The 26,771-nt window shown below is 45.6% G+C and overlaps 1 protein-coding gene and 1 pseudogene across 19 annotated transcripts in view, besides 2 other annotated features; one reads left to right on the top strand and one right to left on the bottom strand.

Moving 5' to 3' along the window:
• The window catches only part of PRKCE (protein kinase C epsilon), a 536,712-nt gene that overhangs the window by 456,540 nt on the left and 53,401 nt on the right, over positions 1-26,771 (bottom strand). The window lies entirely within an intron of this gene.
• Positions 1,115-1,254: an enhancer, noted in NCBI's record as "active region_15691". NCBI's record gives its function as "activates an Ori minimal core promoter by ATAC-STARR-seq in GM12878 lymphoblastoid cells {active_cell/tissue: GM12878}" and the evidence as "EXISTENCE:reporter gene assay evidence [ECO:0000049][PMID:35858748]".
• Positions 1,635-1,714: an enhancer, noted in NCBI's record as "active region_15690". NCBI's record gives its function as "activates an Ori minimal core promoter by ATAC-STARR-seq in GM12878 lymphoblastoid cells {active_cell/tissue: GM12878}" and the evidence as "EXISTENCE:reporter gene assay evidence [ECO:0000049][PMID:35858748]".
• On the top strand, positions 21,077-21,149 carry TRQ-TTG5-1 (tRNA-Gln (anticodon TTG) 5-1; annotated as a pseudogene).

The raw sequence follows: 26,771 nt of genomic DNA, 5'->3' as shown, positions 1-26,771 counted from the left end.
AAATGAAAAACCTCCAGACAAATGATTTTTACTCCATCTCCCCACTTCTTTTTTGGCATCTCTCCCAGGCCAGACATTTATACATCACACCTGCATGAGCCACAGAACTGATGGTCCTAAAATACTGACCAGAAAACCACAAGGAATGGAGCTGCTCTGTCTAAGTGAATGCTCTGAGCCCAAGAGGCTGAGTTGTCATAGGCAAAAACTGTGCATAACTCCATTAAGACACCCCTTGCTCTCCTGACACTAGCTGTAATAACCATCTTCCTCTCTAAACACAAAGGCCAATGCTAACTAATAACAGAAATCAACAGGCCCTAAACTCACCAGTCTCTAAACTGTCCACAGTAGCCACTTTCTGCCTGAGAGTTCTCCCTGGTTAGAGAACACCCAGGCTCCCACTATTCCCACATTCCTATTTCCTTCACTTCAAAATTTTCATTAACAGCTTCCACTTGTTCTTCCACACCAGTCAGATTTTCCTTTTAGATAAATCCAGGAATATCATTGCTCCATAAAGGTAAAAATGTATTTTTAAAAATGTTTTACAAATAACAGCACTCTGTCTCCCATGATCTGTCGGGCAGACACACAAAATTAATTTTTTAATGGAAATTTCCTTGGGAGAAGTGTCTCTTCAGAGACAGAAAAGAAACTGGTAGCTCTTGAAAATTAAAAATGTTGTGCTTGCCAGGCATGGTAGCTCACACCTGTAATCCTAGCACTTTGGGAGGCTGAGGCGGGTAGATAGCTTAAGGCCAGGAGTTTGAGACCAGCCTGGCCAATGGGGTGAAACCCTGTCTGTACTAAAAATACAAAAATTAGCCAGGTGTGGTGGTGCACACCTGTAATCCCACCTACTAAGGTGGCTGAGGCACAAGAATTGCCTGAACCCAGGAGGCAGAAGTCGCAGTGAGCCGAGATTGTGCCACTGTACTCGAGCCTGGGCAACAGGGTGAGACTCTGTCTCGGGAAAAAAAAAAAAAAAAAAATTACAACTGGTGGCTCACAGTTGTAATCCCAGAGCTTTGGGAGGCCAAGGTAGGAGGATCACTTGAGGCCAGGAGTTTGAGACCAGCCTGGGCAACACAGCAAGACTCCATCTCTACAAAAATAAAAAATAAAAAATTAGCTGGGTATGGTGGCCCACACCTGTAATCCTAGCTACCCAGGAGGCTGAGATGGGAGGGTTGTTTGAGCCCAAAAACTTGAGGTTACAGTGAGCACCACTGCACTCAAGTCTGGGTGACAGAGCGGAACCCTGTCTCTAAAAAATTTATTTTTCCAGTGTTGTGCTCTGTTGTCCCCAAACGGCTCTTCAAGCCTGGCGTCTATGGTAACATGACTGTAACCTCAGTGCTGCCCTGCTAATGTGTGGTTTCTGTTTTTCTTCCTCTTTTCAAATCCAAGGTTAACCAACGGACTCAAAACATCCATTCTTGTCAATGTTGTTGAACTATAAAAGTATGACTCTATACCCTTAAAAAATGCAAAATGCCCAGGACCCAAAGATCTCCTCCATGCTGATCTGTTCCTCTTTTAAGACTCCAGGTGGAGCTAGTAGGAACTGCACTCCAGGCTTTGAGCCATTGACAGATCTGCTCCCCTTGAGGCAAGGTGGACGTACTAGTTCTTCCTCCGGTCAAGGATGGCCAGAGCAGTCTGGACCCACTCTGGCCTAATCAGCATCAGCATACAGGCTCATCATCCATTACACTACCAATGTCCCTTGGAATATTTTCTGCTCAAACTTAAAAAATAAGCCCCCATGGAGGATACAGCCTAGAATCTCTAGTACAGATTCAAAAATAGCTGTATTCCTGAGTATGCACATCCCTTCAAAACGGTGTAAAAATTTTCAGAAGCCAAGGGTCAGTGATCACAGCCTCACTGGGGCCTAAAAATATCCTTCAGGCTATTGCTGTAGGAGGGGGAAAAGGAATCGGAAAGTAATGAAGGGGGACACATAGATGCATATGATGGAGGCTCCAGGGAGGGCCGAGCTGGCTTGATATCACATCTACACTGGCTGTCTCATAAGCGTATTAGGATCACACCCTTTGATAATAAAGAGGATGCAATGACCCCTGCTAAGAAGACACAGGCTTGAGCTGAGGATGGCTTTCATGGCACCTTTCATCTACTTTCTCTCTACTCTATCTTGCTCAGTCTCCCATAAGCCAGTGCAAACAGAGACTGCACTGTGTCCTCCACCGCCCTATGTGAATTAACCAGCAAGGATCCTGGTATAAGTGACGTGGTATCAGCTCCTTCGGGTCCCAAGGACAATGCCTCTGTTCCATTGATCAAGGCTTTGGAACTCCTTCCTTTGGAGTCCAGGCTTCCAAGTCATCATGGTAGCCATGGTCGGAATCCTACCTTGGCAAGTTGAGAGCAAGATCCCTGGTGGGGCAGTGAAAAAGAAAGACGATGGGAAGTGAGGGAAGAAGTGGGAATAGAGGCAGCCTCACTTGGCAAACACAGTGCAGCACAGCCTACCAGTTAGGAGCCAGTGCCCCAGTGCCACCGTATACTGAGTTCAAATCTTTGCTAACACCCAGCTCCAACACCCAACTCTAAACACATTACTCAACCTCTCTAACCTTAAAGGAGAGATGATGGTCATACCTTCCTCATACAGTTGTTATGAAAAATAAGTGACATGATGCATGAAAAGCACTCAGCACAGGGCCTCAATAATTAGCAGCTGTTATTGCTCAGATACTGAAAACAAACCATGAACTGGTGAAGACAGACCTCAACTTACAGTCAGGCAACCTGGGGGCTTTCAGTTCCCCATCTGTAAAACAAGGGGCTGAGAATGAAGGTTCCTTCCAGCTCAGACACTCTAGAAGTCTGTGACTAAGATACAAAGATTCCAGCGGCACGTGGGCATTACAACTGTAATATAAAATGACACCCAATAGCACTTGCACCACCCTCAAAGCAAGCAGCATGCACAAGAGGATACTGTGAAGAGTGCGTGTGTTTGGGCATGGGACTATTGGGGGAAGGGTTCTGGTGAAGAAGGGGCCAGTGAAATGGCATTGCTTAGATTGTTCTCTGGCTTGCTAGTCCAACATCCAGGAATGTTTCTGGCCTTCTAGGTATGAAGCAGGCAATTAGGGTCTTATAAAAATAAAAATAAAAAATTTCACTTAAAATCAAGAGGGAGAAATTTCTACTTGCCCTAACCTTGATCCTTTGCCCTTTGAAGCCAAAACAGATACTACCCTTAATTTATTTAGAGTAGCTTCTCACCCATCACCTTACTCCCTTGATGGGATACGAAGGACTTTCTGAAAGGATGTGGAGTCACACTTTGAAAAATACACTTACACAGAAGGAGCAGGCTTGAAAAGAAAAGATACGCTTAAACAGAAAGCGAGGCATGGTGTTTACTCAAGAGACCATCTCCCTCAGCCTGGTTTAAGCCAGTAAGGGCTTTATTTTCCATCTTGGCTTCCCAGAGTTTACTGTAAAAATACATGCCCTGGCTGGGCCCGGTGGCTCACGTCTGTAATCTCAGCACTTTGGGAGGCCGAGGCAGGCAGATCACGAGGTCAGGAGTTTGAGACCAGCCTGACCAACATGGTGAAACCCCGTCTCTACTAAAAATACAAAAATTAGCTGGGTGTGGTGGCGGGCACCTGTAATCCCAGCTACTCAGGAGGCTGAAGCGGGAGAATCGCTTGAACCCAGGAGCCAGCGGTTACAGTGAGCCGAGATCGCACCACTGCACTCTAGCCTGGGTGACAGAGCGAGACTCCGTCTTAAAAATAAAATAAAATAAAATAAAACACATGCCCCAATGTGAAGTCAAGAAGCAGAGTCCAACCAATGCAATGGCAAGAAACTAAAGGCATCAGGGAGCAAATGATGGCCAGCAGAACATCTGGGTGGAATGACAGATGTTGTACAAAAGCTTGGTCAAATCCTCTAAGCTACCTGGAATGCCCTCCCTCCTAGTCCAAATCCTCTTATCCTTATCCTTTAGGCAGAGTTTGAACCCCGTCCTCCGGGAAGCCCCCAGTGATCTCTCCCATTAGAGGTACCCACTCCCACTTTTGTGCACTGGTTGGACATACACAACATTCCGCCATTGCTTGTCTTCTACCTTCAATACACATCAGTTTCCATAAAAAGACTTCCAAAAGATCTTACTGTATCTCCCTTATCACCATGTATTTGGTTTATGCTAAATAAATAACTATGGCCTTAAGAGGTAGGTAAGCTGTTCTTGTCTACACAGTTTTCTACTCCGGAGAAGACTGCATCATTTGCCTAACAAGGATTAACTCTGCCCCATCACATAAAATTAACTTCACCTTGGGCAAACAGGGACTGTACTATGACATGCATCCAGGTATACATCTTTATCTAGAAAATTTGCTTAGCAAATGGCAGGTCTATTAATAAAAACTCTAAGGTCAAATCTCAAACTCAATAGAGCTTGTCAATATTAAGCCTTCGCATACATTTTTAATCTTATTTCCCATGAGGAAAGTAAGGGCCAGAAAGGTTAAGTGGTTTTCCCAAGGTCACCCAGCTAACAAGCAGCAAAGTCAGCCCTGGAATTCAGTTCTGCTTCTTTTTCCACCACCCTACAGCCACCCTACAAGCCCTCTATGTCACCTAGGAAAACAGGAGGGCTGATGACCGAGGCAATAGGATCAGTAGCCACAGGCTCCCAGGACATATCTGACCCCTTAAATCAGCAATATTTTTTAGAAGAATGTATCCTGAGAATCAAAAGTACAGGTATACATCAGAGATATTGAAGGTTCAGTTCCAGATAACTATAATAAAGCAAGTCATAAAAATATTTTGTTTCCCAGTGTACGTAAATTTATGTTTACACTATATGTAGTCTATTGTGTGTACGATGTAATTATGTCTAAAAATGTACATACTTTAATTGAAAAGTGCTTTATTGCTAAGAAAAATGCTAATGACCATCTGAGCCTTTAGCACACGTTGTAATCTTTTTGCTGCTGGGGAATCGTGCCTCGATGTTGACAGCTGCTGACTGATCAGGGTAGTGATTGCTGAAGGTCAGGGTGGCTGTGGCAACCCCACAGCAAGAAATTGCTATGCCAATTTCTTAAAATAAGACAATGAAGTTTGCCACATAATGGACTCTTCCTTTCACAAAAGATTTCTCTGTAGCATGTGACACTGTTTGATGGCATTTTCTGTCAAAATTGGAGTCAATCCTCTCAAACCTTGCTGCTGCTTTATCAGTGAATGTAATATTCTAAATCCTTTGTTGTCATTTCAACGTTATTCACAGAATCTTCACCAGGAATAGATTCTATCTCAAGAAACCACTTTCTTTGTTTTTCCCTAAGAAGCAACTCCTCATCCGTTCAAGTTTGGTCAAGAGACTGCAGCAATCCAGTCACATCGCCAGGCTCCATTTCTAATTCTAGTTCTCTTGCTATTTCTACCACATCTGCAGTGACTTTCCCAGCTGAAGTACTGAAACCCACAAAGTCATCCACGGAGCTGGAATTAACTTCCTCCAAATTTTTGATAATGTTGAAATTTTCACCTCCTCCCATGCATCATGAATGTGGGTTTTTTTGTTGTTGGTGGCGGTTTTTTGTTTTTTTTTTGAGATGGAGTCTCACTCTGTCAAGAGGCTAGAGTACAGTGATGTGATCTCGGTTCACTGCAACCTCCGCCTCCCGGGTTCAAGCGATCATCCTGCCTCAGCCTCCCAAGTAGCTGGGACTACAGGTGCGTGCCACCACGCCCAGCTAATTTTTATATTTTTAGTGGAGATGGAATTTCACCATGTTGGCCAGGATGGTCTCGATCTCTTGACCTCGTGATCTGCCCGCCTCGGTCTCCCAAAGTGCTGGGATTACAGATGTGAGTGTTCTTAATGGCATCTAGAATGGTGAATCCTTTCCAGAAGGTTTTCAATTGACTTTGCCCCAATCCATCAGAGAAATCAATATCTATGGCAGCTAAAGCCTTATGAAATGTATTTCTTAAACAATAAGACTTCAAAGTCAAAATTACTCCTTGATCCATGGGCTGTAGAATAGATGTTGTATTAGCAGGCATGAAAACAACATTAATCTCCTTGTACATCTCCATCAGAACTCCTGGTTGACTAGGTGCACTGTCAATGAACAGTAACATTTTGAAAGAAATCTTTTTCTGAGCAGGTCTCAATGGTGGGCTAAAATATTCAGTAAACCATGCTGTAAACAGATGTGCTATCATCCAGGCTTTGTTATTCCATTGACAGAGCACGAGCAGAATAGAATCAGCATAATTCTTAAGAATGTAAAGAATGGTAAATGAGCACTGGCTTCAACTTAAAGTCACCAGCTGTGTTAGCCCCTAATAAGGGAGACAGGCTGGCCTTTGAAGCTTTGAAGCCAGGTATTGATTTCTCTTTAGCTATGAAAGTGTTAGATAGCAACTTCTAATCTACATTGAAAATCTGTTGTTTATTGTAGCCACCTTCATCAGCGGTCTTAGCTAGATCTTCTGGGTAACCTGCTGCAGCTTCTCCATCAGCACTTGCTGCTTCACCTTGCACTTTTATGTTATGGAGATGGCTTCTTTCCTTAAACGTCATAAACTAGCCTCTGCTAGCTTACAATTTTTCTTCTGCAGCTTCCTTACCTGTCAACCTTCATAGAATTAAAGAGAGTTAGGGCCTTGCTCTGGAGTAGGCTTTGGCTTAAGGGAATGTTGTGGCTGGTTTGATCTTCTATCCAGACCACTCAAACTTTCTCTGTATCAGCAGTAAGGCTGTTTCACTTTCTTATTCGTGTATTTACTGGAGCAATACTTTTAATTTCCTTCAAGAACTTTTCCTTTGCATTCACAACTTGGCCGTCTGGTGCAAGAGGCCTAGCTTTCAGCTGTCTCAGCTTTCAACATGCCTTCCTCACTAAGCTTCATCATTTCTAGTTTTGATTTCAAGTGAGAGCTCTGAGACTTCCTTTCACTGGAACACTTAGAGGTCATTGTAGGGTTATTAAGTGGCCTGATTTCAATATCATTTTGTCTCAGAGAATTAGAGAGGCTGAAGGAGAGGGAGAGAGACAGGGAAATGGCTAGTTGGAGGAGCAGTAAGGACACACACAACATTTATCAATTAAGTTCACCATCTTATATGGGGGCAATTCACGCCACTCCAAAACAGTTATAATAGTAACATCAAACAAACGTAATTGTACCAAAAAGTTTGAAATATTGCAGAAATGACCAAAATGTGACACAGAGACATGAAGTGAACATATGCTATTAGAAAAATGGTGCCATAGGCTTGACTGACACAGGCTTGCCACAAACTTCCAATCTGTAAAAAGCACAACATCTGCGAAGTGCAATAAAACAAGGTGTGCCTGCATATAGCAAGATGCCAGCACACTGCCCAGAGTCTGAAGCCAGGAAGTGAAAAGTGGAGGTTCTAGACTGCTAGCTGCTCAAAATGAGAGCTGAAAGCAGGGTCTCCTCAAAGAATGTAAGAACAGACTATGTCATCACAGAATGAACAAATTAAAAGAACATGTATTGGGCTGGTTGCAGTGGCTCACCTTTGTAATCCCAGCACTTTGGGAGGCCGAGGCAGGCAGATCACGAGGTCAGGAGTTTGAGACAAGCCTGGACAACATGGTGAAACCCTATCTCTACTAAAAATACAAAAATTAGCTGGGTGTGGTGGTGGGCGCCCATAATCCCAGCTATTCAGGACGCTGAGGCAGGAGAATCGCTTGAAACCGGAAGGCGGAGGTTGCAGTGAGCCGAGATCGCGCCACTGCACTCCAGCCTGGGCAAAAGAGTGAAACTCCGTCTCAAAAAACAAAACAAAACAAAAGAACATGTATTGGAATGTTAAACCAGTGAGCTGTCCTGAGTAGCAGAGAATCCACACTGGGCAGAAGGAACGGTAAATCGTGACTATTAGCAGGGCAAACAGGTTAGAAAAAAGGGCAACACCGTCCCAGATCAGCTCCAAGCAGGACACACTTAACCTAATGTCCAGGAGCCTAGAAGCACATCTGTGTTGAAAATTAACACTTCAACCTCAGGCCCTGGAAGCCTCCTGAGGCTTATTACAGGCACCCTCTAATGACTACCTTGGAAACACATGTGAACTGGATGCTGGCTCATAGGGGCCTCTCCTCCTCCCTTGCATATTTTAACAGGGAGGAGTCACGGCATTTTCTACAAGAATCTCTAGGGGAAGAATAACCACGTGTAAACCATGTGGACTGAAAGTCCCAGGAGGGCAGAAGTGGCCTCCCATATTCTATTTTCCACAGTTAGCAAACAGAGAACAAATACACTGTTAACTTATCTTTTTGTTTTTGTTGTTTTGAGACAGTCTCATTCTGTCACCCAGGCTGGAGTGCAATGGTGTGATCTCAGCTCACTGCAACGTCTGCCTCCTGGGTTCAAGTGATTCTCCTTCCTCAGCCTCCCAAGTAGCTGGGATTAAGGTGCCCCTCCACCACACCCGGCTAATTTTTGTATTTTTAGTAGAGACAGGATTTCACTATGTTAGCCAGGCTGGTCTCAAACTCCTGACCTCAAGTGATCTGCCCACCTCGGCCTCCCAAAGAGCTGGGATTACAGGCGTGAGCCACCACGCCCAGCCCTGTTAACTTATCTTTTAACTGACTACAATGCATTCCTAGGTTTCTATGAAGAAAGCCATGAGGTGCTTTTGTTACATATACAAGGTGAGATTAGGACTCCAAGTGGAAATGGGCCAAATCTGTCACCACTCCTGAATCACACCTGCTTAGTACACTCAGACGCAGAGAGATGGGCCACACAATGGCTCCAGGAAGTAAAAGGATGGTGACCTATCTGCTTTTCCTCATCTTCCCATTTCCGAAGGGAGATCCAAGACCTGAGTTTCTGCCCAAGTTCAGCATCCTCTTCTGCCTAGGTTTAAATGTAAGCAGTGGTTCCCAAAGTGTGGTCTGGGAACCTCTGGAGGTTCCTGCGGCCTTTTCAGTTGGTATGCAAGGTCATAATTAGTCTTACAATAATACTAACGCTTTTTTTGTCACTTTCACTCTCTTACTCTCAGGAGAGTCCAGAGGCTACATGACATGTGATAAGACAATAGCCTGAATGCAGAAGCAAATAAAAGAATCCAGCTGACTCCTATGAAGCCAGGCATCACAGAGATGCACATGGACCCTAGAACTTAAAGAATAATAAAAACTAAATTAAATTAAAAAATTAAAAAGAGATTTGCAAAAAATAAACAACAGTGCAATGTCTCTAAGACTTTTGTTTTGGAAAGTGTCATTTATTTCATAAAAGTATGCCCTTTGTGTTAACATGCAATGGGCTTATTTTTTAATTAAGTAATTTAAAAATGTATCTGTTTCAATTTTAATGTGATAAATATGGATAGGTGTACCCCAAATAAACAGAAACTCTCTGGAATCTTTAATAATTTTAAAATATTTAAATTTAAATAACTTAAATTTTGATCTTGAGACCCAAAAGTTTGAAAAGCAGTAGTTCATAAGAAAGAAAGATGCTCAAATCCCATTTATGTTTCTTTTTTTTTTTTTTTTAAGAGTCAGGGTCTCTCTCCATCACCGCAGCTGCAGCACAGTGGCATGATCATAGCTCACTGCAGCTTTGAACTTCTAGGCTTAAACAAGCCTCCTGCCTCAACCTCCCAAGTAGCTAGAACTGCAGGTGCACACCTCCATGCCTGGCTAATTTTTTAATTTTTTTGTGGAGATGGGGTTTAGCTTGTTGCCCAGGTGGTCTCTAACTACTGGTCTCAAGCGATCCTTCTGCCTCAGCCTCAGCCTCCAGAGTCGCTGGGATTACAGGCGTGAGCCACCATGTCAACTCTCATCTATGTGTTTTGAGAAACTAAATTGGGACTATGCTGCTTTTCTGTCCCTCAGACCCTATCTATCATTCAGGATCTGGTACCACCCCCATGTCTTCCACCAAATCTTGACCTAGCCCCATCCGTCTGAGAATTCCACCTTCTGCACTCCCCTGACAACTAGTTTTTCTATGCCACCTAGCATTTCATCAGACACTGCCTGGTGACATCCCCTGCACTATTGTCCTGGGTTATGTAACTTGTGTTGTTATTTAACTCTCCCTGTGGGTGTGTCTTGCTTCCCCAAGGCAATGTGGAACTGTGAAAATGGGTCTGAATCCTAGCTCTGCCTCTTAACTAGCAGGCTGACCTTGGGCAAGTTACAGAGCCTCAGTTTCCTTGTTTATAAAATGCAGACCAGGCAGACTTCCTGTGAAACCCAGGCAATTACCTGCTCTTCCGACAGCACCTAGCTCAGGATTTTTTGTTTTGTTTTGTTTTTTGAGATGGAGTCTCGCTGTGTCGCCCAGGCTGGAGTACAGTGGCACAATCTCAGCTCACTGCAACCTCTGCCTCCCAGGTTCAAGCGATTCTTTTGCCTCAGCCTCCCAAGTAGCTGGGACTACAGGTGCATGCCACCACACACGGCTAATTTTTGTACTTTTAGTAGAGACAGGGTTTCACCATATTGGCCAGGCTGGTCTCGAACTCCTGACCTTGTGATCTGCCCACCTCGGCCTCCCAAAGTGCTGGGATTACAGGTGTGAGCCACTGTGCCTGGCCAGCTCAGGATTTTTCTGAGAACTAAAAGTAGTAACGCTCTTGAGCCCCAAGCACAGTGCTGGCATATTAGAAGCAGACCAATCTTCTTTCCAAATTCACAGCCATGACAGGCAGAAATGACCTTAACTATCACCTGCATGAATAATTAGGTGAATGACTGAAAAATGCATGCATCAATACATCAAGTTTGGGTCTCACCAGAGGACAGTACTGCCCTCCCAGGGGAACATTTGGAAGTGAATGTGGGCAAAGAGGGATACTGGCTTTTAGTGACCATGAATTACTGGCATTGGTGGGCAGCGACATATCTAAGACTCCCTACCCAAATGTCACAGATTTCCATCTCAGACATGAACTTTATGATTTCAGTATTGTGAGGCTGCATGTTGTTCCTCTCACTCGCTCACAGAAAACTCCCCAAGCTACCCCTGGGAGGTACTGGGGAGCCCTCAAATCCCTAGAAGCAATGCCAGGCACCCCTACCGCCCCCGCCAACCTCCCAGGTAGTTCTTTTACCAACCGATAGGTGGAAATGATAGCGCACTCACTTCACTTTATCTCAACTCCTCCACTTTATGGTAACTCCCCAGAAGGGTGGGACAGTGGCTGCTCCCAGCTTTGAAGTCTTGTTTCCCTCACCTACTGCACCTTGCTACAGTTCCTCTTACCCCTCCAGCCCCTCTCCCTCCCTCTCTGTCCCTGGCAAGCAGCCCATAGCTCCATCAGAGAAGAAGGATGCAGCCAAGGAATGCTGTTTCTGTGTGACTTTAGATTCTGCTGCTTGGACTGTGATCACTGGGAAGGGACTCCAGCAAACAAGCCATCTGTGAACTCCCTACTAACAGTCTGAGAGCTCTGTTGCTATTGTTATTTTGTTGTTGTTGTCGTTGTTGTTGTTTTTAGGAGACAGGGTCTTTTTCTCTCACCCAGACTAGGTGCAGTGGCTAGATCATAGCTCACTGTAACTTCGAACTCCTGGGCTCAAGTGATCCTCCTGCCTTGGCCTCCCAAAGTGCTAGGATTACAGGCAAGAGCCACGGCACTTGGCCAGTCTGGGTATTTTAATTGTTTTTGTGGGGAGGAGGGTTATGATTTTGTTTGATCTAGATTGTAAAAGGGGGAGAGAAAATTTCTTCCAAGCCATATCCAAATGCCATGTGTGTTTTACGGCTACATAGCATGTATTATGTGCATAGATTTCAGATGTGCCACACCTCAAAATACATATTAGATAAAATCCTGGTCCTGTCTTTCAGATGTGACCCACTATCCATCCAGTCACTCAGTACCTATTTCCCAAGTGCCAACTGCCCGCCATTGCTTTCCCTAGTGAGGGAAGGAGCCCCAAACAGTCCTTCCCGTGGTCCACAGGACACCCTGGGAATATAAACCAAAGGATGTCAGCACGTGGGCCTCCACTGATATTCCCATTGGGGGAATAAAAAAAGTTAAGAAACATAGTTTGCTCTCTCAGAATAAAACTGTAAGATTAATCCAGTGCTGAATCAGTGCAGAGATAAGCAAAAGCAATCACTTTAGATTAGATGTCAATCTGATGAAACACATTAACATCATCTCCAAGAAGCCGGAGGCTGGGGTAGGGCTGGGGAGTAGCCAGGACCAGCCAACAGTGCCAAAGAAGAGGGAAGTCCCCAAGCACAGGATGACAGTGCCCATCCTAGCACCGCCCACAGGTGGCAAGGATAGATGCCTCGAGCCTTCTCAACCTGCTGCTAATAAACCATTTTTCCACACTTTACATTGTGAAGAAAAGTCTCAAGAATTACTCCACAAGTTTTAATAAATTTGGCCAACACTGAATGTCAATTCTTTAGGTGACTTTTAGCCTATATTAGCATATTAAAGGCTCTGATAAATTCTGAAATAAAGAAATCTGTTTGTTTTTAATTAAATATTTCCCCAATTCATTTGACCATAAGAACTCTTTCTATATGGAACTACCATTAATAACTCCAAAACTAGTGTTCCTTGGAGCTCCAGATTAAACCATGAAATTACTAAATTTATTTTTGTGACTCTGGTTCCAGCATAGAGTTGGGTTTTCTGCAGAGCTTGCCTCCAGAGCTATAACAGGTTAGCAAACTTATCCGAGAGTCCCAGGTGACATAACACACAATTTTCCTGACTTGAACCAGTATATCAACTTTATATAACAATTGTTCTTGGCTGGGCGCAGTGGCTCATGCCTATAATCCCAGCACTTTGGGAGGCCGAGGTGGGCCGATCACTAGGTAAGGAGATCAAGACCATCCTGGCCAACATGGTGAGACTCCATCTCTACAAAAATACAAAAATTAGCTGAGTGTAGTGGTGCGTGCCTGTCATCCCAGCTACTCAGGAGGCTGAGGCAGGAGACTCGCTTGAACCTGGGAGGTGGAGATTGCAGTGAGCCGAGATCACGCCACTGCACTCCAGCCTGGTGACAGAGCAAGACTCTGTCTCAAAAAAAAAAAAAAAAAAAAAAAAGTAAGCATTTGGTAATTATTAGCTCTCCCCAAATTGCTGGAGCCTTCCTCATGTGCTAACCTAGTGATTCTCAATTGGGGGCAATTTTGCCCTGCAGGGGACATTTGGTAATGTCTAAAGACATTTGTGGTTGTCACAACTGAGAGGAAAGTGCTATTGACATTTAGTGGGCAGAGGCCAGGGAAGCAACTAAACACCCTAAAATGCGTAAGACAGCCTCCTCCAATGAAAAGTTATCCGGCCCAAATGTCAATAGTGCTGAGTGCTATAAACCCATGGTCTTGATCCGCAAAGCTGAGAACCTTGGTAAATTCACCAAAACAATGTATCTACAAGGATTCTTATAGAACCAGCCACCAGCTTCTTGAGGGGGCCCATCTTTGCTCATATATAAAAGGAGCCTTTCCTTTAACGTCCACAAGAGGTACAATATGGGGCTGGGGCACAAATGCCAGTTACCCAGAGAGTAGACCCGTGATACTGGAGCATCCTCTACCCCGTCCTCTGCCCATAGCTAACAGCCACATGAGGCCAATTATGCAGTTTGACTCTCATTTGCTCAAAGATTAATGACCGGTTTGTGGAAGTAGCCAGACCAGTGGGTAAGGGACCCTCAGGAGTCCCCAAAACAGGGGCAGAAGAAAAAGTCTGGACATCCCTTGCAGACTACTATGGCGGGCTAAATTAAATATCATCATCACCATTAAATACAAAAACTATTAGGAAAAAAGCCTCAGGATCCTCTTCTTGCAGTCAAGACAGATTACAGAACTTAGAAGGAACGTATTTTGCTCCAGGGAACGTGCAGATATGCACAAGACATGCCATATGCTTTAGGGGGAACCCAATGTAGGATTCCTTTGCAAGTAAAACTTTCCAAAATACATACTTATCTATGTTTACATGCATGTGCCCATGTATAGATAAATAGATGGAAAAAGATAGGTGATGGGTAGGGAGATAGATGATTGATTGAGAGAGAGGGGGTAAGAAGACAGACAGAGAGAACAAACCAGTTGTTATCTAAGTGCTGCTCTTTAACCCATAGGTCCAAACAGACTTGACAGACACACAAACCTGGATGCTACAGAAGCTGTACTGTGGGTGGCAAATGGGAGAACTGGGCTCCTCCTCCTTCACTGTAATTCTATCATCCTCATCTGGGCCTAGCCTGTTGTGGGAGGCAAACAATGGGATCCTCATCCTTTCACTTAGGGACCTTGGACAGGTTCAGATAGCAGAGGCATCACCATGTGACATGGTTTGGCTGTGTCCCCACCCAAATCTCATCTCATCTTGTAGTACCCATAATCCCCACATGTGGTGGGAAGGACCCAGTAGGAGGTAATTGAATCATGGGAGCAGTTCCCCCATGCTATTCTCATGATAGTGAGTTCTCACAAGATCTGATGGTTTTATAAGGGGCTTCTCCCTTCGCTCTGCTCTCATTCTTCTCCTTTCTGCTGCCACATGAAGAAGGATGTATTTGCTTCCTCTTCCGCCATGATTGTAAGTTTCCTGAGGTCTCCCCAGCCATGCTGAACTGTGAGTCAATTAAACCTCTATTCTTTATAAATTCTGCAGTCTCGGGAAGTTCCTTCCTACTTTCCTTCCTTCCTTCCTTCCTTCCTTCCTTCCTTCCTTCCTTCTCTTCTTCTTCTTCTTCTTCTTTTTCTTCTCCTTCTCCTTCTTCTTCTTCTTCTTCTTCTCCTTCTCCTTCTTCTTCTTCTTCTCCCTCTCCTTCCTTCCTTCCTTTCTTCCTTTCTTCCTTTCTTTCTTTTTCTTCCTTTCTTTCTTTTTCTTTCTTTCTTTTTCTTTCTTGACAGAGTCTTGCTCTGTTTCCCAGTCTGGAGTGCACTGGAACTCCAGAAGTTGGCTCTCTGCAACTTCTGCTTCCTAAGTTCAAGTGATTCTCGTGCCTCAGCCTCCCAAGTAGCTAGGACTACAAGCATGCGACACCACGCCTGGCTAATTTTTGTATTTTTGGTAGACACAGGGTTTCACCATGTTGGCCAGGCTAATCTTGAACTCCTGACCTCAAGTGATCTGCCCACCTTGGCCTCCCAAAGGGCTAGGATTACAGGCATGGGCCACTGCACCTGGCCCCAGGGCAGTTCTTTATAGCAGCATGAGAACGAAGTAATACACCATGGCACCAGCCTTGACATTTGAAAGCTGGAGAAACAACCATCCCAGGGATTCCAGTTCTGCCTGGGCCCCTATTCAATTGAAGGTGAGTAACACACGAGTGCAGAAAGACAATGGAGAGAAAGGAGGGGCTTGTAGGTTTCAAAAGCACCTTGGAAGCGAAAACTGAAGCAGGATTTTAGTAGGAAAGACTCAGCTGAGAATGTGGGCCCAGCACTGGGAGCAGAGACTTTTAGGCCTCCATCCAGGAGGGAGAGTTCAGGGGTGCTTTGAGATGAGAGGCATCATGGGGGGAGTGCAGAAAAGGGAAGAAGAGCAATCAAGATAGGCTTTGTGGACTTCAGTTTGCCTTCAGCCAACACTGCTCAACCTGTCCCAAACCATCAGACCCCATCCTCACCCCCAAAAATAATTGAGTCACCAAAGAAAGGCAGTTCGTGTAGTGCAAAGAAGACAGAGGGCTCTCAGAATCCACCCACAGATAATCCCCCCTTTACCTGCTCATCTCCTCTTTATACCTTACCATGCAGATGTTGTTTTTAAAAGGGACTTGACACCTTAGAATAGACTACCCTGTAGACTGACTCTTGTAGAAAATTTCAGAAGAAGCCAAGTCTCTGGGAGAGATGAGCAGGAGTCTCTTGCTCCTTAGAAACCCTGTGACAATGAAGGACACTGGATAGATGGAAGCAAGAGGGGAGGGATTTCCTCCAACAGGAGAAGCCAAAATTGGTCAAAGAAGAAAACCCAACCGTATCTTTAAGGACTCTGAGTTCCCTGAGACTGCAAAAGTCAGAGACATAATTCAAGATTCACTAGCACCTATCAGGGGTGTCAAGGGGTCAAAACAGAAGGAGACAAGAAGCTTCCTCCCACAAGGAGCTTAAGCCTAGCAGAGGTGACAAGATCAATATACATAGGGAGAGTTTGAGGCAAAAGATGCCATTGTGTGGACCAGGAGCATCTCGTGGTGGGCACTCCTCTGCTTCCTGCGGTGCGCTGCACAGCGTCATGCACACGGTTGCACACAGTTGGCACTCAAGAAATATTTGGTAAGTGAGTGAATGAGTTATGCATTCAACCCACAGCTCCGAGTTGCCTGCCTGCCTGTGGAAAAGCTTTGTGCAGCCCAGTCTTATTTTCTGCCAGGGAACAACTCCAGCCTGTTTCAGGGAAAACAACAAATCCTAAGGAGGAACCTGCAGATGCCGGAAACCTGAAGGCCAAGAGGTGAAACACCTTGTGGTTGTCTGCTTGTCCAAAAACCCAAACCATGAGGCTGCAACCAGCTTACCCACATTCATGAAAGTGACTAATACTCTCAGGCCAGTGGCCAATGCCTCAGGTCCACCTTGGTTCCGAGGGATACAGACATTAGACTCCAAGAATGCTAAGGAGATTTCAGGACAGGCTGGACAGGCTCAAGGCTCATCATCCCCTGAGTCAGGGAAGACACCCAGTGAGTTACACCTCCAGCTCCCCATTCCCCTCAGCACACGGTCTATACTCCCCACACAGGACCTCTTTAACAGGATTGTAGTGCTGGGCCAAGAGGACCTTTCACGAGGCCACAGCCAGATAAGGAAGGAGGAAAGCAAGGAAAGAAAGCAGAAAGCAAGACAGAAAGACACTCACTGTCATAAGTTTTCATAAAGCTGAATGTGTTTCATTTAAAGAGCCATTCTGTATCCTGAGATGTGTCTGTCCTGCTTTTTGACCTTGAGCACATCAAGTTCTTTTCCCACCTCATGGCCTCTGCAAGTGCAGTTTCCTCTTCCTGGAACACTTATTTCCCTTTCCTTACTCAGCTCCTTCTCTCCCTTTGTGTCTCAATGTCATTGTCCCTGTTTATTGCATCTTTGTAGGACAGTCCTTCCCTGACCATGCCACCAAAAGGCAAGCCATCTCCCCTCACCTTGATCTTAGCTCTGTGTCTCTCTTCAGAGTACCCTTTCTATGTGTTCTTATGTATTGGCTTGTTTCATGCCCCTCCTCCATCCGACTCTAAGTCCCATCAGAGCAGGGGCCATGCCTATCGTGTCTGCCATTAAACAGCCACTACTTAGCACAGTGTTTGGGGCTACTGGATCTCAAAAAATGCTTATTTAATTATTGAAGTAAAATGCTCTGTTCATGAAATAATTATGACAGTAAATGTATTGCTCAAATTCTTACTTGGTAAAATTAAAAGAACATAACTTTATGTCAATGCCCTTCCCTTTTGGAGGTGTGGGGGTTGAAGGAAGAGACATTTTACTGTCTCAAGAAATGCAAAAGTTTGCAAACCAATGCTTTATAGAATAAAAGTCCTTTGTGTAAATGAAGATTGTTATGGGTATCTCTCTGTTATAACCACAGACCTACTTCTGAAACAGGTGCCCATAAATGGAATGCCTGCAAATCCAGATCTATTTCTAGAGAGATGCACTTTTTCAGGGGTGTTTTATCTTCACTTCTCATTTACCATGAGTGGAAACTAATACCACATCTTTAGGCTTTTCTGCCTTCCCCCTTCTTGGCCCATCACATTCATTATTAGGTAGGTTTTAACTCCTCAACCTAAAAACAGCCATGGTTTCCTATTTAAAGAAATGCCAGTGGATCCCTTCTTCAAATGAAGAATGATTTTTTAAAATTGCTTTAATACCATCCACTTTTTTGTTGGTCCGGATGTTCATATACTGAGTTTCTTACAGCAGGGTTTGCCTGTGTGCCCTGGATGGTTCTCTGTGGGCTCAGCCTCCCAATCAGTAACACAGAAGGAAGATGCATACCCCTGCAGCTACACAGGACATAATGAGTCTTTACAGCTATCCATTACCATCAGGCATCACACAAATATGTAGGGCAAAGAAAAATACACATTATTAGCCACCCTCAGGCATATGCTCTCCTGTGGCTCTTCCCATCTGGCAAGGTGATCAGCTGCGGAGTCCAAGGGCAAGATGAGCAAAAACAATGACAGCCTCTGTATGTCTAGAACTTGATTCCAAACACATTCTTAAATAAGCATCCACTTCACCTTTATAAGAGCCTCGAGGTGACAGCGACTACAGATCATTTACAGGGAAAGAAACTGAGGCCCAGGGAGATAAGCTAGCTTATGGAGGACAGCACTGCAAGTCAGCACCAGACTGGGACCAAGATGAAAACACAAAGGTGTGAGAGCTTTTGAATCATGATGCGCATTACAGATGCAAGGCGACAGTGTCGTAATTATCATTATTATTCATCTAGTCACAATCTCTGAGCATTTAACATATGCCAGGTATACTTTCAGCCTCAAAGAGGTAGAAGTATGGGGCGAATACGAAGATAAATGACACATGGTCCCCGCCCTCCAAGGACAGGGAAGTGTGCTGGAGGAGTTGAACATCTCCTAAACAAATGAGAACCATGCAATAGAACACTGGAGCCAAGCAGATGGAAGCCCAGAGGAGGGAGCCAGACTCTGCCTGTAGGTACAGGGAGGAGCTGACACTTGAGCTGGATGGAAAAAAGGCAAAAGGCCCTTCCAGGCAAAGGGAATGGCCTGTCCAGGCCCCAGAGGTGTAGCAGATCATAGAGGGAATGCAACTGTCAGTGGGACCAGCCAGGGCCAATTGGTCCAGAGCTTCATGGGCCTTGCCAAGGAGGAGAGACGTTCCTGGAGGCCACCAACAGTACAGGCTTCCCATCAGGGGCTTTAAGCAGGGGGAATAGCATGATCAGATTTGGGTGTCAAAAAGACAGGACAGGCCGGGCGCAGTGACTCATGCCTGTAATCCCAGCACTTTGGAAGGCCAAGGTGGGGTAAATCACTTGAGGTCAGAAGTTCGAGACCAGCCTGGCCAATATGGGGAACCCTCGTCTCTACTAAAACTACAAAAAATTAGCTGTAGCTGGGCGTGGTGGTGCATGCCTGTAATCGCAGCTACTCGGGAGGATGAGGCAGGAGAATCTCTTGAACCTGGGAGGTGGAGGTTGCAGTAAGCCGAGATTGCACCACTGCACTCCAGCCTGGGGAACAAGAGCAAAACTCTGTCTCAAAAAAAAAAAAAAAAAAAAAAAAAAAGGACAGGCCGTAGAGTGGCAAGAGGTCAACTGTCAACAGGAACACCTGAGGGCACACAGACAGTGTGGAGAAGATGTAATTCTTTACTCAAGTAACAGTGGGGGCTAAACTGAGGATCTGCCCCCGTCACATAACCTTTCATCTGCAGAGTGAAATAGGAGTATTTGTCCTGCCTCCTTTATAGGACATAATATAAAGTTACTAATAATAATGGAGGCCGGGCGTGTTGGCTCATGCCTGTAATCCCAGCACTTTGGGAGGCCAAGGCATGCAGATCATGAGGTCAGGAGATCAAGACCATCCTGACCGACATAGTGAAACCCCATCTCTACTAAAAATAGAAAAATTAGCTGGGCATGGTCGCGCATGACTGTAATCTCAGCTAGTCGGGAGGCTGAGGCAGAATTGCTTGAACCAGAGAGGCAGAGGTTGCAGTGAGCCAAGATCATGCCATTGCACTCCAGCCTGGTGACAGAGCAAGACTCGTCTCAAAAAATTACATAAATAATAACAATAATGGAAACATAATAGAAGTAATAGCCAACATGTCTTGAACACTTATATAGTTAATTTAACAAGTACTGAATATTTGCTAGGCACCAGGCACGCTAAGTGCTTTACAAATGCTAATTCATTTAATCATTGCAATGATCTTGTGAAATAAGGACTTTCATTATCCCCATTTTACAGATGAGGCAATTGAGACACAGAGACATTAAGTGACTTACTCCAGGTCACCCAGGTCATAGGTAGCAGAGCTGTGATTTGCAGCCAGGCAGTCTGGCCTGAGTCCTCGCTCTTGGTCATGATGTCCATGATCTCTTGTTTGTTATATGCCCAGCACTGTGGAAAGTACCTTGCAGCTGTTGTCTATTACTCTGGTCCTCACAATAATTCTGTGAGGTAGGCACTCTTTTTTCTCCCTGCTTTATAGCTAAGGAAACTGAGGCACAAAGGGGATAAGTACCTTGCCTGTGGCTGCACATAGAGTAAGTAAGTGGTTGAGTTGCACGTTAATCTTTGGGACTGCAAAGTTCGTGCTCTGAGCTGCGCTCCCTTCAATCTAAAAGCACAAAAACCACAGGGAGGGGGACAGGGGACAGGGAGGGGGCAGCAACCTGAAAAAAGACTGAATACTTAGAATAGTGAGAGATCAGATGGAATATGTTTTTGCCTGGCTGGATTTTTCCCACCCCATGTTAAGCGAGAGAAGGCAAGGTCCCCCCTCTCTCCCAGCACCCCTGGTTCAGCCTCTAGACAAGTCAGGTTGTGTCATCTGGCCTGCCAGGCAGTAAAACACCCCGATCCTTTAGGGGTGAGGGTCTGCAGGCCTCAGCTCCAGAAACATCAGGGTGGCAAACAATGGTATATCAGTCAGGCCTGAGCATCTCTGATTGGCCCTGGCAAAAACAAGATGTCAGTTAGTAACAGCCGTAAATCCCTGTGACAGCCAGTCCCCAAGCCCTGGGCATACTCTGGGCCATGCTGGAGCCGCAATGTCCAGAGCCTTCTCCTGCCACTTCTTGGGACTGGGAATCCTGGCCTGGGGCCTGGCAATGGAATCATTAATCTATGGACAGGCTTCACAAAGAGAAAAACATGCAGGAAAATATACAGAAGAAAATAGAGCTAAAAAACACTCCAGGGTTCCACTGAGACCAGACCATCTAGGACTGAGATTCAGAAGCAGGAGAGCAAAGCTCTCAGGAGGACATATTAGAGACTCTGGAGGATGTATGGACTTTCAAGGAGTACTTACAAGAGGCTGTGTACCTCAGTGGGCAAGGGTATGGACTTTGAAGCCAGACTATTTGGGTTCAAATCCCAGCTTGGCCTCTTGCTTTACTGCTGAAAAACTGGGGATGTGTTCCTTAATCTCTCAGGCTGGGCCTCAGTGTTCTTACCCGTCATATGAGGATAGTGATAGTACCTACATCATCAGGTTGTTACAGGGGTTAAGTGAGTTAATACACAGAAAAGTCCAAGAACGGTGCCCAGCACCTAGCCAGTGCTATGGACGTGTTAATTAAATAAGATAAATGGGCCAGGCGCAGTAGCCTAAGCCTGTAATCCCAGAACTTTCCGGATCACTTGAGGTCAGGGGTTCGAGACCAGTCTGGCCAACATGGTGAAACCCCATCTCTACTAAATAATACAAAAATTAGCCAGGCGTGGTGGCATGTGCCTGTAATCCCAGCTACCCAGGAGGCTGAGGCATGAGAATCACTTGAACCTGGGAGGTGGAGGTTGCAGTGAGCTGAGATCATGCCACTGCACTCCAGCCTGGGTGACAGAGTGAGACTGTCTCAAACAAACAAAAAAAAAGATACATGGTCACAGGGGAGACAGGAGACATCTCTCCCAGTGGGAGATGTCACAATATCCAGGTGAATAGAGATGGGGACTGGAGATGAGATGCCTTCCATTTTATTCAAAAGAGTTTGAAAGAGTTTAGATCTGGAAGTCCCTGACTTAGGGTCACAGGGAAAGTCAAAGTGCTGTTTGACAACATGCTGCAGCAGTCACACTAAGGCAGAACCATAGCCTTGGAATCCAGAATGGGGATGGGGTGGCCCAGGAACTCTAAAAACTCCTAGAGCATAGTCTGTACTAAAGCTTTCAAAATTCACATTCATAGACATCCATGATCATCTAGTCCACACCCAGCTGCTGCAAATGAAAGGAATCATGCCAAGGGCCAGAGAAGGGCCTTGTCCAAGGTCAAATAGCTGGCTGATATAGGGCATGAAGCAAGAGCCAAGATCTGCCAGAACTGGGGCATCTTCCATCACACCAGCCCTCTGGCCTTGACCCAGGAAGGCTGAGAACCCAGTGCATGGGTCTTGGCCTGGTTGGAGCAGCTGCCACCTTGGCCTGGCTGGGTCTGCCCGGTATGCTGGCCCCAGCCCAGGGTGCTCCTGACCAGCACCTGCCACCAAGCTCTGGTAGGCCCTACTAACCTCTTCCAGAAGGGAATTGGGGGTCTTCACCTCCTACTCTTTCACACCCAGAGGCAGCTCCAGGTGTGAGCAGCAGCGCCAGTAAGTTCCACAAATCCCACTTGTCTCATCCAGACTGAATCCATGATCCTGACTCAAGCCATTGTCTTTGTCCCTCAAACTGGTATATTAGAGTAACAGGTAAATCCCCAAATAGTGGCTCACTGCCATTCAAGGTGAAACTGTGTGCTACTATCCACACAGGAGTGGCTCTCTTCCAAGCAGGGATTTGGAGAGTCAGGCTCCTTCCCTCTTCTGACTCTGCCACCTTCAACACATGGCCCCCAAGACCACTATGACTGGCTGCTCTAAGCCAACAGAGGGAGAAGGCACCTGGGACACTGACCCAGGAGGTTTTTGTGGGCTGGCCTAGAAGAAGCACTTACTCCTTTCACCCACATTCCACTGGCCAGAATTGAGCCACAGGACCACACCTGGCCATACCTGGTGTATTAGTCCGTTTTCACACTACTGATAAAGACATACCCGAGGCTGGGCAATTAACAAAAGAAAGAGGTTTAATGGACTTACAGTTCCACGTGGCTGGGGAGGCCTCACCATCATGGTGGAAGGCAAGGAGGAGCAAGTCACATCTTACATGGACAACAGCAGTCAAAGAGAGAGAGCTTGTGCAGGGAAACTCCCCCTTATAAAACCATCAGATCTCATGAGGCTTATTCACTATCATGAGAACAGCGTGGGAAAGACCTGGCCCCATGATTCAATTACCTCCCACCAGGTTCTTCCCACAACATGTGGGAATTCAAGATGAGATTTGGGTGGGGACACAGCCAAGCCATATCACCTGGTCATAAGGGAATGAGAGGTGTAGTCTAGCTGTTTTCCCACGATGTAGGCTTTGGTGGACACATAAGCCATCTCTGCTACAACTGACCTCACAGCTTTGTTCTGTGGCACTTGATGATTGTGGACTGGAGCCCCAGCTTAGCAACTTGCTCTGCCCAGGAAGACATTAAAGGAAATCTGCAGGCTCTCGAGTCCAACCTATGATGCGTAGGGAGGAGTGACAGAGGCGGACTTTGGTAGTAGATCAGGAGCTCACCGAAGGCAGGAAACATGTGCAGCACCCTGCAGCATCCCAGCATTCCTCATGCACTGCCTGCCATCGAGGAGGCCTCCAATTTGTGTCTACCTTATGAGAAGTAGCAGGAATGCAACCCGCAGGGGTACCAGACATAAGTCATGCTGCAGGAAGGCTGGGGCCTGCCTAACTGGAGCTTCATGCCTGCACTCCCAGGTCTGATTCCTGGCTTGGCAGTTGGGAACTAAGGAGAAGGGGACAGTCAGAGCCATCGCTCCTTCCATGCTGGCTCTCACATCAGAGGCAGACTCTCAGCTCGTCTGTGTGGGAGGATGCAGGAGCTATTTCCATTTTATTTCATATTCGTCACGAACTGTGTGTCCCACAGACATGAGAAGCCACAGAAGAAATGTTCTCCCTCCCCCAGTGCAGATCCTCAAAAGCAGGGGCTGAGGGGAAAATATTTGAAGGAAACATCCTTGACTTCCATGAACAGATAAAGCCTCTCCCAAAAGGACAAGCACAGGGGCAAGAGCAAGTCACAGGACCAGCTTCGAGTCTGCTTTGTGACCTTGGCCAAGTGACAAATCCTTTGTGCCTCCATTTCTCCCCCATCTGTCAAATGAAGATAATAAAGGCTGTTCTGAAGTTAGAATGAGATAATCAATGTTTAAATGGCTCTGGGAAGTACAAAGCTTTCTATGGGAATATAAGGTGTTATTATCCACTCACCCTTCCTGCCTCTCCAGTGAATTCAGATGTTTGGTAACAATTACAATCTTGGCTAGGACTCACTCTTGATGAGCAGAAGAAAGGCAGCAGCCTCCACATTTAACAGATGGGGACTGATGCACAGGCCTGGGCTGCAAGCAGACCTGGTAAGTTCTGGGACACATGCTCCAGCCGAGGAATATCTGCCTGTGAAGTAATGAACTGCGATCCACGAGGGACTTCCACTGCAATCATCAAACACCAGCTCTTGCAGACTCAGATGTGGTATTTGTTAGACTGAGGAATATAACAGTCATAAAATCACAGAATTCCAGAGTTGGCCAAGACCCCCATCTTTGGGGAGAGAGCTAGTTCCCCAGTCAAAGTGGAAAATCGACTCAATTTCCACTGACCTGTGAAAAGCAAAACCAGTTCATGTCTGTCATTGCTTATTCTGTTTGGGATCTTGAGCAAATCACTTAACCACCCTCTGCCCCAGTTGCCTTCTCACAGGAATAAGGAATGAGAAAGGACTCTGGTAACTAAAAGACACAGTTCAAATGAAAGGTATTTCTTGCTATTGATGATCAAATCTCTTACCATGAGTCACATGCAGTATTCTTAGATTCTCTTACACACAGAAGACAGGGGTTCCCATTTTCCTGCTCCTGAAATTTAATTCATTGTGGGGGGCCAAACTATCAGGCGGCCAATACAAAATCCTGCCTCAGGATAAACAGGAGAGAAGATACTGCTGGGATGTGATGCCAGAGATTGAGACATGTGCAAACCATTCATTCAAAGCAGAAACAAGAGCAAAGATCATTCTGGAACCCAATCTGACTCCTGCAAGGGTAGAGCCCAGTCTTCTCAGACACCTCTCAGTCAAGACTGGTTGACAAACACTGCTTCAAGTTCCTCCGACCTGGGAGAACCAGGAATGAAGCTTGACACAAGGGCAGGGAGGATTCAGAGAAAAGAAGGGAAAGATGAAAATGAAGGAAAAGCAGGCACTTTCAGAGCCTCATTTTCTCATTACCATCAGCATGCATTCATTTCCTCTGGTGGAAGGAGGGAAAAAAGTTTTCCATTGAGTGTCTAAGGCAATCCTGTGTAATATTTCATTTCACAGCCTCTTTCTCTTGCCAACTACAACAGCAGCTGTGAAACTATTCTCCTGGCCAGTCCTGTGGCATTCCTACCCCAGCATCAACTCAGAATTCTTTTCCCCCAGGGCTTCTACTGCTTCTCATCCTACCCTAACCTCAAGAACTCACCTGGATGTATTCTCAGGTGAAATCTCTGGCAGAAATAATTTCTAGTTCTCAAACAATAGAAAAAATTCAAGGGCCAACTGCAGGGGACCAGGTCCCTTTGTTGGCTACTATGACCTGGGGAACAGAGCCAGACACAGAGCTCCGAAGCAGATATCTAACTTAAAGCAACTGACAAAAGGCCCCACTCCACACCCAGGTTACAATCATCTTCAGAAAGACCCCAGGTCCCAACAGCCACTGCACTGGACAAACTCATTATCTTCAGCTACAAAGCCAGGCAGAAGGCTTAATCAGGTCAGCAGCATTTGATAGGAAAATAAGTACCTTCTTGACACTCTATGGATTATAGAAATTATGCCTGGTAAAGCTACCTATACCACCATCATGTCAAAGGACACTCAGGGATATTCAGCTGAGAAGAATAATTATACAGTCAAATGCCATCAAGTCCACAAAAGGAAAGCAAGCCCACCCATCACTCTAGAAGCCAAAGCGTGGAGGTTTATCTGACAGTGGAAAAAAACAGACAATCCTTAAGATTTGTCATGCCTCCCTCCTTCCAATAAGCCTGTAACCTCTACTCACGGAGGGCTGGGTTGGTCTGGTTGGAGCATGCGGTGCAGGGAATGGTACAGCTGGGTTTACACCCCGCCTCCTCTGGAGTACATATACCCCCAACTGGCAGTCACTCCTATGTTTTCTGACAAGCCATCCTTTTCAGCTAAAATTTTCCACTCCTGGATTCAGCCCAAAGGTGAGTTTATTTTGGAAAGTCTGAGCCAAATTTCTCCGCAACTAGAGTTTCAAGCAGGTGAAATAAAGCCTGCTGCTTCTCCCCACATAAAATTGTGTCCTAAGAGGGCAACAATAGTTCAGGCCCCTAGCGCTGCTCGGAACCGAGCTCCACAGAACTGGGCACATGTATGCATGAAATATGGTGGTAAAAGACATGCCCACAAAAGTGATACTGAATAAGGAATTGAAAGTGAATTATTCCATGTCCAAATGATAGTGATGATAGTAAGTCTCTGGCATTTGTAAGTTTTAAACTTCTTGAAGTACTCCACCTGCTTTATCTCATCTGTGCCCCACAGCTCCCCTGCAAGGAAGAGGGGACCATTCAGGCTCCCCTCCTGATAGATGGTAAGATGGGAGGGACAAAGGAAAGGGGCTGAGAATTACTTAAGATCACACTATACAGCAGTTGGCAAGGTCAAGACTATTCTCATGACCCCTGGTCTTCCTCAACCAAATTTGATAGCCCTTTAATAAGTACAGGGGTTAAACTTAAAATATGGCAGTGAACAGTGTTATTATCATTTCTTAGGCATAACACTTAGGTGAAAACTGCTGCCTGTCACCTTGAAATACTAGAGGGGGAAGGAAGAGATGGACATTTGCTGGGCACCTGCATGTGCCAGCAGCATAC

This window comes from Homo sapiens, chromosome 2 (genome assembly GCF_000001405.40).
Source record: "Homo sapiens chromosome 2, GRCh38.p14 Primary Assembly".
Taxonomy (NCBI): Eukaryota; Metazoa; Chordata; class Mammalia; order Primates; family Hominidae; genus Homo; species Homo sapiens.
Note: the sequence above shows the minus strand (reverse complement) of the source record. Positions and strands in the feature narration are given on the sequence as shown.